The following is a 13,033-nucleotide window of genomic DNA, read 5'->3' on the forward strand; positions in this document are numbered from 1 at the left end:
ATCACCCATCCTAGATTTCTTTCACATAGGTCATGCTTCAGCTGATTTTTGTGGCTTGCGTGGTGGAGCAAACTGTCAATTCTGAGGCCCTGAATGCCCTTGCTCTCTACAGGCAATGGTTGATGCAATTGTCCATTCACTATTATCACTAGGGCTGATGGAGCAACAAAAGATATCCAACAGAATGGTTTAGATTTCTGATATATTCTTTCCTGCCCCCATTATGCAGAAGTAACCTTATTTCTATCTATTATATGATAATCAAGCCCAATTACCCCTCCCAGTATAGTAACTCTTTGCATGCTGGTCTTCTGGTATCAAGAATCTAAAACGTCCAGGTGACAACCACAGCTAAAGAAAAACAAACCAACTTCTTCCTGTGTCCTCTGATAGAAGCTCTCCATCCCAAACACCTCCTCAAACTAGTAACTCTAATGCAGCAGAGGCTAAAATTTTGGGAGAATAACACACATTCCCTCAACTGAGCCAGTGGGAGTGATGATGAGAGAACCTACTGCTCCTCCCGTGCCTTGGACTCAGTCTCATACATTTTAACTTTTGAGAAAATAACACTATATAATGGCTTTTGGTTTAAAGTATATATTGCAACTTGAAGGACTGCATCCCAAACCCCAGCAATTCAGGGTATCATCCCCGGGCTAAAACCAGGCACTTACGAGGCCATTTCAAAACGTTTTCCGCCTGTCAGCTCTTGGGCTATCAGATATATAGTATGACCAATAGAGTTGATGGTCATACACTTTGTTGTCCCTCCTCTGCCATAAAATGGTCCTCAGTATCAGTTGCAGTTCAGCCCAATACCCAACAGTTTTTGAAAATTCTCAGTATTCCTCTTCCCTCAGTGTGTAATTGTCTGGGTACATATCACTCATCTGTGGGAGACCAGAATATTTCACCCCAAAAAATGAAAAATTGTTGGGCTGAAGACAATGGAGAAGAAGCAGATGCAGGAAAGCTCTCTGCTCTCCCTCTATTTGCCTAAAAGCAAGACATGGATTTAGAGACACAGAAGGTATCCTGCACCCTCTTCTACCAGGGAGAACAGAGGTTAACCACTGAAGACAATTTTAGACCCTTACCTCCTGGAGATGATACCAGAAGAATACATGCTGACAAGCTTTATTAACTAGCCTTTATCTGCTATTTAGTTACCTTCCCACAAGTTGTTAGAGAATCAAGGTCCTTTTCCTTTGTCTTGTCATTTCTCTAATAATTAACTATTCTTTGTCAAAGATGCTATATAAGCTGGAATTCAAAGCCACCTCTTTGAGAACTACTCCTTACCTAGGTGTCTTCCATTGTCTTTCATGGTGCCTTCCAGGAAATCTACATGCTAATAAATTTTTTTTCTCTTGCTAATCTGTCTTTTGTCATAGGGATTCATTTTAACTAAGAATCTATGGGGGCTAAAGAAAAAAAATTATGTTTCTTCCCCTACAAATATCTCTGGGGACCAGAAAGAAAACACTTATCAGACCTGTTGTGGTATTACGGGGATTTTCCTCAACAGCACCAAGGATCTCTTCCAATTGGGAATGAAAAATGAATTGGGTCTAGAAATTGAGTAATGGAATCAGTGATTTCTCCACTGTACCAGCTGACGTCAGTCTTCTGTTCACCTTGATATTTTGGGGTTATATAAGTCAAGAAGTATTCTTATTGGCTGCTTCTCCATCTTGTTCACAGGTCACTATAGTATATTAGCCTTACTTCTAATTGTCAGCATGTGCATTCCCTTGTCAGAGGAAGTTTTCTAGCTGTTCGCTACCCACATAGACTGAAATACCAGGAAAATAATATTTTCCTTTCAGTTCCCTCAAATATCCCTCTAACATGACTGATGGGAGTTTGTAGATAAATGCTATTGCTCCCTCAGAGTTTAGGTAAGTTTGAGGTGCGAGTCCAACACTGTGAGACAACACTGCAGTTGACAACAGTAAACTTCTTAGTTGACTTTCTTTCCTTCTTTGGCTCATTTATCCACTACCCTGTAAGTGCTAACCTAAGACCATCTTTTGGTATACTAGTTGCACTCAAATCCTTGTTTCAGGGTGTACTTAGGGTGGGGAGAAATAAAATTAAGACAGGTGATGCCAAAAGTGAATCCTTGGATGAGATAATGGAATTGAATTACTCACCAGCTAACTGCCAACAGAGTCTCATTGCTAGTGGTAAATAGAATCATTCCCTGGTATGTTGTAGTTCAGTTTCTACTGAATGTGTATTGCTTTTGCATCATCTTCAATTTGAGAACCTGAACCACCGTAAGTTGCGGACCATCTATATAATGAATTAAGTTCATCAGAATTTTAGAAATAAAAAACTAATGTTGTTTGTGTTGTGCCTCTTGTTTCGTTGTTAACAAAGAATGTTGGTTGTTACCTCAATTTAGTGAATATTTAGGTATCTGAACACCAACTAGTTCTTGTGCTAGGTTTAACAACATTTGTTACCCACCCCTAGCATTGGTGCACTATTTTTTAACATAATTTTATGTTACTTTATACTATTTCTGTGAGTTGTATAGAAAAATATCATAAACATGTTATAGTAGAATAGTCATAAGATTCCATAATCACTGGTGTGCTAGTATTTATTTTATACCATAAATTTGATGGGTCAAATATATTATCCTTTATATGTGACTAGAAACACTATTGGATCCTACTGTAAAGTCCCCAAATTGAGGCGAGTTTTAAATAATTTTGAATCTAAGCACATTCATAGAAACTGAGCTTCTATCACATTAATTATGTATCATGTGTAAAAGAAGTTACTCTGAATTTGTTATCTTTATTACTTTACATTTATTGCCTATTAGTGTATATATAACACATTTAGCATGCATACATTTTAAAGTACATATAATACAGATTACACTTACTTTTTTTAGTCATTTCCTTCATTTTAAGAATCCCTCTTGTTTTCTCAATATAGCCATGTTTTAAATTATTAAAGCAGTTCATGAATGTCAATTTATGACTTGAGAAGTTTATTTAAAGTTCAAAAGACCATTTTGAGGGATCATAAACAGATAAACAGTAACCCAGAAATGCCTTTTTCCTTTTTTTTTTTTTTTTTGAGAGAGAGCGAGATAGGGTCTCACTGTGTTGCCCAGGCTGTAGTGCAGTGGCCCTATCTCGGCTCACAGCTCACTGCAAACTCCACCTCCCAAGTAGCTGGGAGCCTCCCGAGTAGCTGGGATTACAGGCACATGCCACTATGCCCAGCTAATTCTTGTATTTTTTTGTGGAGATGGGGTTTCGCCATGTTGGCTAGGGTGGTCTCAAACTCCTGAACTCAAGCAATCAGCCCACCTCGGTCTCTCAAAGTGCTGGGATTACATTACAGGCATGAGCCACCGTGCCTAGTCAACTTTTTCAAATTTAGTTCATTAACTTTTAAAAAAAAAAATTGTGACAGTCTCACTCTGTCACTAGGCTGGAGTGCAGCAGTGCAATCTTGGCTGACTGCAACCTCTGCCTGCCAGGTTCAAGGGATTCTCCTGCCTCAGCCTCCCGAGTAGCTGGGATTATAAGCGTATACCACCACACCCGGCTAATTTCTTATATTTTTGGTAAAGACAGGGTTTCACTGTTTTGGCCAGGCTGGTCTTGAGCTCCAGTCCTCAAGTGATCTGCTCACCTTGGCCTCACAAAGTGCTGGGATTACAGGCATGAGCCACCGCACCCGCCCAACATTTCTTAATCTGTGAAATTAGCCTTATACTCCAAATTTCTGACATATTTAGTATAAAACTGAATATGTTTCTTGACTATTTACTTTTTATCTATTTGATAAGTTCTTACACAATGTCTTTCAAGGAACATTCAGAAGACAGAAGACTAAATGACATTGACACAACTGGCTTTTTCTTATGACAATATGAATATGAGTCAGAAATATATGTGATAGACAAATTATCCTTTTTGATATTATTCTCTTTTGAATGCTTTAATATATACAGTAAATCAATTGACTTGTTTCAACTTATTAAGTGAAAATTTTGATTAAAGTTGTATTTAATGATGCTGAAAGACTGCATGTTTTTTTCCCTCTTGCTTTCTATGTATAATTATCAATGTGTATTCATCATTTCTGACTCTGTGTGTATAGAGCAGATTCACCTGACAGCAATAATTTAAGCATACTCTATGGTCTAAGAAGAGTGTTGGTTCAGAGTTCTGAGCCAAGGAACCCAGGAGCAGCCAATCTAGAGGCTTACTCTATGAAGGACACCTGAACCGCTGGTCCATTTTGTGGACTGCAGGATATGCAAGGAATTAAGAGGCCCTTTGTTTTGAGCTAGATGTGGATGTTGCTAGGTAGAGGGTGCTAAGTGAAAATTGCCATGTAAACTGCATGCTGCAAACAGTAGCGGTCTTCCTGTCTAGCCCACCACTCCTTGACTGCCCCATACGTAAGTCCTCCATAAACCCTATGTCTTTGTTCTTTGGGTCTGGGTCTCCTCTGTCCTCTTGGACATAGTGCCATCCCCATTGGAGTCAGTAGGGGTTAGTCACAACCGTGTGATGTTTAATTCATACTCATATATGGTTTTCTGTATTTATCAATTAAATATATTTATAAAGAAACTAAATATTAAAAACATTCTTTTAATCACCAGTGGAAATAAAAAGTGAAAAAGAGCTATTAAAACACATTTCAAAGCTAACTATTAAGGTTACAATTTTTAATATAAAGATACTGCTTTTAAATGTAAAATTCAATGAATTTATGCAAAAAATTTTCAAAGCTTAAAAGAAAAATTTAACAAAAGTTATGTTCATATTAGAAAGGACAGCATAAATTTAACAAAAATAACTGTCATAAGTTTCTGAGAACTTTTCTAGGATTTTGAAACCTAACTCATCAGATAGGGCTTCAAAATACAGAGCTTTGTATATGAAGTAGAAATTTATCCTGTAGATGAAGGGAACATCTGGGCAGACTCAGATGAAAACAGAATGCCACAATCAGCTTATAATACAAGCCAATTCAAATGGAAAGAGGCTATTCTCAAAAAAGAAAACCCATTTTGAGAATAAAGGAACATACTCAAAACCTACAATTTATTCTTAATGATGCCTCATTTTTCATTTGCTTTATAGCAGCCTTCTACCCCGGGGCAAAGACTGACAGACTATTCCTTAGTACCTTAATTTTAGCTGTCCCCTTAACTATGACTCTGGGGCTGAAATACATAAACAGGGCAATAAATCAGAAGGAACAAAGAACCTTTAAGACTATAAGGCAGTGGGAGGAAGGAAAGTATGTTGAACAATTCCCTTTACATGTGTCCTTAATAATTGATAACAGGTGTCTAGTTTACTGAGTCCAGTTACACATTTTTTAGACAGATCTATTGTTTATGTTGTTCCCTGTCTAAGCAATACAGAGAGTGCTGTTTCACATTCCCTTCGTGTTATAATCTAGTCAATTCACTTAAAATTAGAATAAATTGCATTTGGTTTTAGAAATATTCATATTTGCCATTTCCTCTGCACATTGAAAATATATAATTTTGTTGGTTTAAAGTGTTGAGGCTCAAAAACTGAAACCACCTTTGCAAAAATTATACAGAAAATTATGACAGTGAAATAGGTCTGACTTAACTGACTTCATCTTGCTTCTAACCTCTAACTGTCCTTGTTCATTCCTGGGTGTAGGCCGAACTAACTTTGGGAGGGACTTAGTTTATAGTTTAACTTTGAAATGACAATAACAGCTTTTTCTCAAAACAAATCCCCTTCCTGCCTGGGGATTAAACTGCCTTTGCAGGACTAACAAATTAGCTACAAGATTAGAAGTTATGGTTTAGGACTCATGCAGCTAGAGGCTGCAAGATTTTGAACCTTTCCAAATTGCTCGTGGGGGTAACATCACTATTGTTAAACCTAAGATTAGTGCTTGAGATCTTTTGCAGACACTGCATTAGATGGATAAGCTGGCATCACTCAGATTGCTAACTGTCTCAACTTGTCTTGCGACCCCCACCCAGGAATCAACTTATCAGAAGAGGACAGCATTGACTCCCTATGATTTCATCAATGACCTGACCAATCAGCACTCCCTACTTTCCATCCCCCTACACACCAAATTATCCTTTAAAACCCTGATCCCTGAGTTTTTGGAAGACTGATTTGTGTTGGGTGATGTACCAGAGCCCCAGCAATGGAAAGTGACTGGCTCGCAGATAGTAAAAAGAATTTACCCACAATGGTATAGTTTTGGAAAGGAAAGTTTTATTGAAAGAAAGAAAAGAAAGAAAGAAAGAACACTGCAGAAGAGTGCAGCAGGGCATCTCAGCAAGAGAGGAGTAAGTGTGTCACAGTGGATTTTTACTTAGCAGTATTTTACGGACCTTAAAGTGGGATCTTAAGGGTAATTTAGACCATATCAGCAGCCATGTAGATCATGATAAATGATTACACTTGTAGACATTTTGGTGTCTCGATGATAGCAATAGGAGACAGTTAAATTCCTAGGCAGACGAACAGGTCCCTGTTGAACCCTGATCTTCAAGCCAAAGACAGCCTGATGCCTGAAAACTGAGCTTCCAGTTCCAGGTAGAGTACATGACCAGAGTAAGAACCTCCTCGATGTCTTTTAGCCAATCGAATGGTGCTTTTTCCAGGCCTGCCCACGAACCAATCAGCATGCACTCCCCAATTCTGAGCCCATAAAAGCCCTAGACTCAGCCTCACAGGTGACTACCTGCTTTTGGGCCCCCTCTCACACACAGAGGTACCCACTTCTGTTCCCCTCTCATGTCAAGAACTTTCCTGTCACTCAGTAAAATTCTTCTCAGCCTTGCTCACTCTCTGCTGTCTGCATACCTCATTCCTCTTCATCATGGGGAAAGAACCTAGAACCTACCAAGTTGTGGGTGTGAAAAGAGCTATAACATGCACTCCCACTCACCAACCTATGGGAGTGAAAAAAACTGCTGGGTGCCATACGCCCCCATTCACTGAACTTCAGGCAGTGGGACTGAATGAGCTGTGACACACCCCCATTCACTGAGCCGCAGGCAGCAGGACCGAAGGAGCTGTGATATGGCCCCATTCCCTGAGCTGCAGGCCACAGGAACAAGAGTAAGCTGTAACACTTCTTGGGGACTCAGACCTCGGGACTCCCTGGGCGAGAGCTGTAACACCCCTTGGGGCTCTATGGTTGTTGGCATATCCAAATTTGGGGCACCACCATGTTCCTCTCATCCAGATGCCGGTGCCCAAGGTGGAAGCTGGTCACAGCCTGCCCAGTCCAGCCACAGGCTGAATGTGGATCTCATGGCGGGCACAAGATCTGAGCCATTGCATGAGCCAAGCTCAGCCTCCAGGGCTGAGTGGGTGGAGTGAGCCCAGTGGGCCTCAGTGAGGCTTCAGGAAGAGGTCACAGCAGCTGCAGAGATTTCCGGCTGGCAGAGCAGCACTGAAAAACATCCTGTAACATTTCCAGGGGCTCATCTGGGATTGGCAGAAGGGTGAATAAGAGTGGACCTCTTTCACTTTCATTCCAAGGCTTCTTGTATGGAGATTTTTTTTTTTCCAAAAACAGATGAGGCATTGGGCCTCTGTTAGCCAGTTAAGAGTGAATGGCATGTCTTCAGAGGACAGGCTTGCTGGGGAGGGGTTTGTCAATCACCCATCGCCCTTGGGTGTTGGGAATGTTGGCTTTGCTTCAATCCAGTTTTCTTCATGGAGGTCTAGCCATTGCATGGAATTGGAAGGAAGTTCTGGGGCAATTATCTGGCTGAGGCTATACTTTGATGTTACCCAAAAGGCCACTGGACTGACTCCAGTCACCAACATCCCATTAGGGTGTTGGTGTTAGGACCTCCAGTCTTTTCTATGGCATTATCCTTCTTTCTTTCATGGCTTTAGTGGCTTTTATCTTTTCTTTATATATTAATACAATGTTAAGGGTGTTGTTGCAAAGCACAGAGATAATATAAGTGGGTAGAATGTGCATTTGGCTTAGTCATCAGGAGCGTAATTCAGAACAATGTGTTTTCTGTCTATTCTTAGAAGCAAGGAGGATGTAATGATTGAGAGTTTTCTTTCCCCTGTTGAGGAAACCCATTAGCATAGGGCAAGAGGCTACTTTCCCCCAGGCACCTTCCCTCCCCTGCATTTAAGGTTTTTATTTTTTCCCACCATGTCAGTAGTCAATATAGTCCTGTGAATACAGGGAGCTTTTCTATGTGAGGGATTAATTTTTTCCTTTTGGGAGACATCTTATTAGGCCCCAATTCCTGGGACTCGCTTTCTGTCCCTTGTTTGAGGAGCATCTGGTTTTACAGCTTCACTTTAACATCACTCCAGTATATTTTCCAAGCTTTGGAGTCCTGAGGGACCCAGAGGCAGTCAACAGCAGAAGACTAGAGTGCAGCGCAAGCGAGCACGACTACTGCTGCTGACTACTCCTTACCATTTCATGGGTGAAGAACTTGCTCACATTCATAGCACAGATGGGGTCTAGCAAACCCAAAGGTTACCGACAGCAGAAGGCTAGGGCACAGCATAGGTAAGTGCGACTACCCCTACTAACTATGCATTCCCACTTCATTGGTAGAGGTCACACTTGTATTCATGCATGGCACCTATAGAAGCTGCCACAACTCAGGGAAGGAAAGGGTGGCACCTATAGAGGTTGCCAAGACTTGGGGAAGGAAAGGACACTTTTTTTTTTTCCTCACATGCCCTGGGTTTTCACTGAAAGAGAGAAAGGAGCTAAGGGATGCCTTTTACCCTCTCTTTCAAATGGGTAACAAACCATTTTCAGCCTGTACTCCTTTTGAGTGCATCCTGAATCACTGGGAGTCCTTTGACCCTCAGATTAAAAAAATGCCTTATGTTCCTTTGCACTAGGGCCTAGCTGGGTTATAAGTTGCAAAGGGCAATTCCAAACCCCGGAGGTGCCTCCAGCTGGGGAGTCAGCTAAAGCCTTTAACCCAATATTTTTCCTCACCTCTTAGTTGTAGTTCAGGAGACCTCATGTTTACTCAAGACTTTTAAATCATACCTGAAAGCCCAACTCCTCTGCTGAGTATGGATATATTAGCTCATATGGGAACCACCATCCTTATGGCTCTGGGACAGACTCTTTGTCTCCTCCTAGTGGAGACCAACGTTAACCCAGAAGTTTGGGCAACTCAAGGGAAAATTGGCAGAGCCACAACTGCCATGCCAGTCTGGATCCATCTTAAGGACCCTACCTTCTTCCCTAATCAGAGATAATATCCCTAAAACCAGAAATTAGAAATGGGCTAGAAGCCACCATTGATAACTTGAGGATGCAGGGCTTCTTCAAACCCTGAAACAACCCTTTTAATACCCCAGTACTGGAGGTACGTTAACCCAACAGAGAGTGGAGACTGGTCCAGGACCTCTGCCTCGTTAATGAGGCTGTGGTTTGAATTCACCTGGTGGTTCCCAAACCCCTATACCCTGCTTACTCAAATACCTAAGGGAATTAATGGTTCACAGTCTATGACATAAAGGATGTCTTTTTATGCATACTGTTACACCCCAACTCCCAATATTAGTTTGCATTCAAGGATCCATTCAACCAGACCACTCAGCTAACCTATGCAGTGTTACCTCAGGGATTGTGAGACAGCCCCCACTTGTTTGAGCAGGAGTTGTCAAAGTATCTCTGAGTTCTTTTATTCTCAGGTTAAAGTTTTACAATATGTAGATCACATTTTCCTTTGTGCCCCAGCTGAGGAAATCTCTGAGGAGGATAATAAGGCTTTTCTTAATTTTCTGGCTAACAGAGGATATAAGGTCTCAAAATCTTAAGGCTCAGCTCTCTCAGACTTCAGTGAAGTACCTAGGTCTAGTCTTGTTAGAGGGGACCAGGGCAGTAGGGGAATAAAGAATTAAGCCCATCTCCTCCTTTACCCTCCTCAAAACCCTCAAGCAACTGAAGGGATTCTTGGGCATTACAGGATTCTGCAGATTATAGATACCTGGGTATGGAGAAGTAGCTCATTCCTTATATCACCTATTAGGGAGACCCAGGCAGCTAAGACTCACTCCCTAATTTGGGAACAAGAGACTAAAAGGGCCTTTGACCAATTCAAAGAAGCCTTGCTTGAGGCACCTGTCCTTAGTCTTCCCATAGGAGAGACTTAATCTTTATGTATCACAAAGGAAGGAAATGGCCCTGAGAGTTCTAACCTGGGCCTGAGGTTCAGCCCAGCAGCACATAGGCTACTTAAACAAGGAGCTTGGTTTGGTAGCTAAAGGATGGCCAGCCTACCTCTGGGCAGTTGCAGCAGTAGACTTGCTGGTACCAAAGGCTACTAAGTTAACCATGGGAAATAACATAACGATTTATACCCACGTAATGTGGCAGGACTGCTGTCTCCTAAGGAGAGTCTCTGGCAAATGGACAACTGCCTCCTCAAATATCAAGCTCTGCTATTAGAGGGATCTGAAGTCCAGTTAAGAACCTGTCCATCCCTAAACCCAGCCACCTTCCTCCCAAAGGAAGCTGGGGAGCTTGAATATGACTGCAAACAGACAGTAGCACAAACCTATGTGGCCAAGGAGTACCTCAAAGAAACCCCCTTAGAGAACTCAGACTGGACTCTCTTTACGAACAGAAGTTCTTTTGTAGAACAAGGGATCCATAAAGGAGGGTATGCAATAGCCTGAATGACACTGCTGAGAGCGTGCCTGTCCTCAGGCACAAGTGCTCAACTAGCTGAGCTAATTGCCCTCCTGAGGGCACTTGAATTAAGCAAAGGGAAAGCAGTTAACATTTATGCTGAATCTAAGCATGCTTTCCTAGTCCTCCATGCCCATGCCACTATCTGGAAAGAGATGGATTTCCTCACAGCAAATGGGTCTTCCATTAAATACCATCAGGAAATTAACAGACTATTATTCTCAGTTTTCCTCCCATGGGAAGTGGCAGTAACACATTTTAAAGGCCACCAAAAAGGGATGAATGAAATAGCTGAAGGAAATAAGTTGGCAGACCAAGCAGCTAAATTGGCAGTGAGAGGGCCCCAGATATCTGATCCACTTGAGGTCCCTCTGATCTGGGAGGGCTCCACAAGAGAAACAAAACCTCAATATTCTCCTGTGGAAATAGAATAGGCCACCTCTCAGGGATACGCCTTTCAGTCCTCAGGATAGCTACAATCAGAAGATGGCAAACTTCACCTTCTTCAGCTTCCAGCCAATGGAAAGTTCTTAAAATCTTTCACAAGCCTTCTACCTAGGTAAGGATAAAACATATCATTGGCCTAGAGGTTGTTCTCAGGTAAAAATCTGCTAAAAATAGTGAAATAGGTCATTAATGCTTGTGAGACTTGCCTTAAAAATAATCTCAATTGACAGCTTCTCCCCCCTGGAACCCAAGAATGGGAGGCTACCCAGGGGAAGACTGGAAGATGAATTTCACCCATATGCCAAAGATAAGGGACATCCAGTACTTCCTGGTATGGGTAGATACCATCATTAACTGGATAGAAGCATTTTTATGTTGAGCAGAGAAAGCCTATGAGGTGATGAAAGTACTAATTAATGAGATAATTCCCCACTTTGGACTCCCAATGTACCTCCAGAGTGATAATAGTCCCTTGTTCAAGGTAGCTGTAAGCCAGGAGTCTCAAAGGCACTAGGCATACAATACCATCTTCACTGTGCCTGGAGACAACAATCCTCAGGAAAGGTATAGAACACTAATGATACTATCAAAAGGCACTTCAGAAAACTGTCTCTCAAGACACTCATCTCCCTGGATTACTTTTCTTTCCAGAAATGTTCCTTTGAAGCTGGGTTTAATCCCCTTCAAAAAGATATATAGATGGCCTTTTCTCATTAATGATTTCTTGCTAGACCAAGAAACCTCTGGTTTGATTAAATATGTAACTTCTTTGGCCCATTTCCAACAGGAACTAAAACTGTCGGAAGCCCAACCTCATGAACTAGGGCTACTTCTGTTCAACCCATGGGACTTAGTTCTGATCAAGGCACTTCCTTCCTTTTCTCTCTCTCTACGCCCATGTTGGGAGGGATCTTACACTGTACTTCTTTCTACTCCTTCAGCAGTGAAAGTCACTGGAATAGATTCTTGGATTCATTATACTTGAGTAAAGACCTTGGAAAGTGACTTTCCTCTGTTGACCCAGAGGAGCACCCGAAGCACCAGTGTGAAGAAATTGGAGACCTCAAGCTAAAGATCACAAAACATAAGTGTCACTAACATTTTATGGATATCCTCTTTATAGTCTCACCTATGCTTGCTGTTCTTGCCTTCATTCTATTCCTCACCATAAGGCATCTTTGCCAAAAATCCCTTAATCCTGAAAGCCCATGGCATTATCTACTCCCCTAAACAGCTATCTCTTTTCTGAAGTTTAGCTTCCCTACCCCCATTAAAGACTTACTTTCACCAGGGTGAAACAGCTCTGATCAAAACATTGTTTTCAGAATGATTAGTATAATACTCATATTTGATCCATGCATACTTAACCTCCTTTTAAAATTTGTTTCTTCTTACCTAGAGACCATCAAACTCCAAATGGTCATGGAAATAGAGCCTCAGATGATGGCTCTTTTTACCGGGAACCCATAGGTAGACCTCTGAGAGACATCTAACTGCTGTTTTCCCAAAACAATGCCCCTGTCAGCATGAAGCAGTTAGACCTGTCACCATCCCTGTAATAATGTCAGTTAGACGTACCTCTTCAGAGGGGGGATTGATAGTGACAGTAAACAGTCAAATTCCTAGCCAGAAAGGGTCGTGTCCCCAGTGAAACCTGACCTTAGAGCCAAGGACAGTCTAAAGCCTGAAAACTGAGCTTCCTGTTCCAGGTAGAGTTCACAACCAGAGTGAGGACTTCCTTGATGCCCTTTAGCCAATTGAATGCTGCTTCTTCCAGGCCCACCCATGGATCAATCAGCATGCACTTTCTCATAAAAGCCTTGGACTCAGCCTCACAGGTGGCAACCCACTTTTTGTTCCCTTCTCACACAGAGGGCTACCCACT

This window comes from Homo sapiens, chromosome 7 (assembly GCF_000001405.40).
Source record: "Homo sapiens chromosome 7, GRCh38.p14 Primary Assembly".
Taxonomy (NCBI): Eukaryota; Metazoa; Chordata; class Mammalia; order Primates; family Hominidae; genus Homo; species Homo sapiens.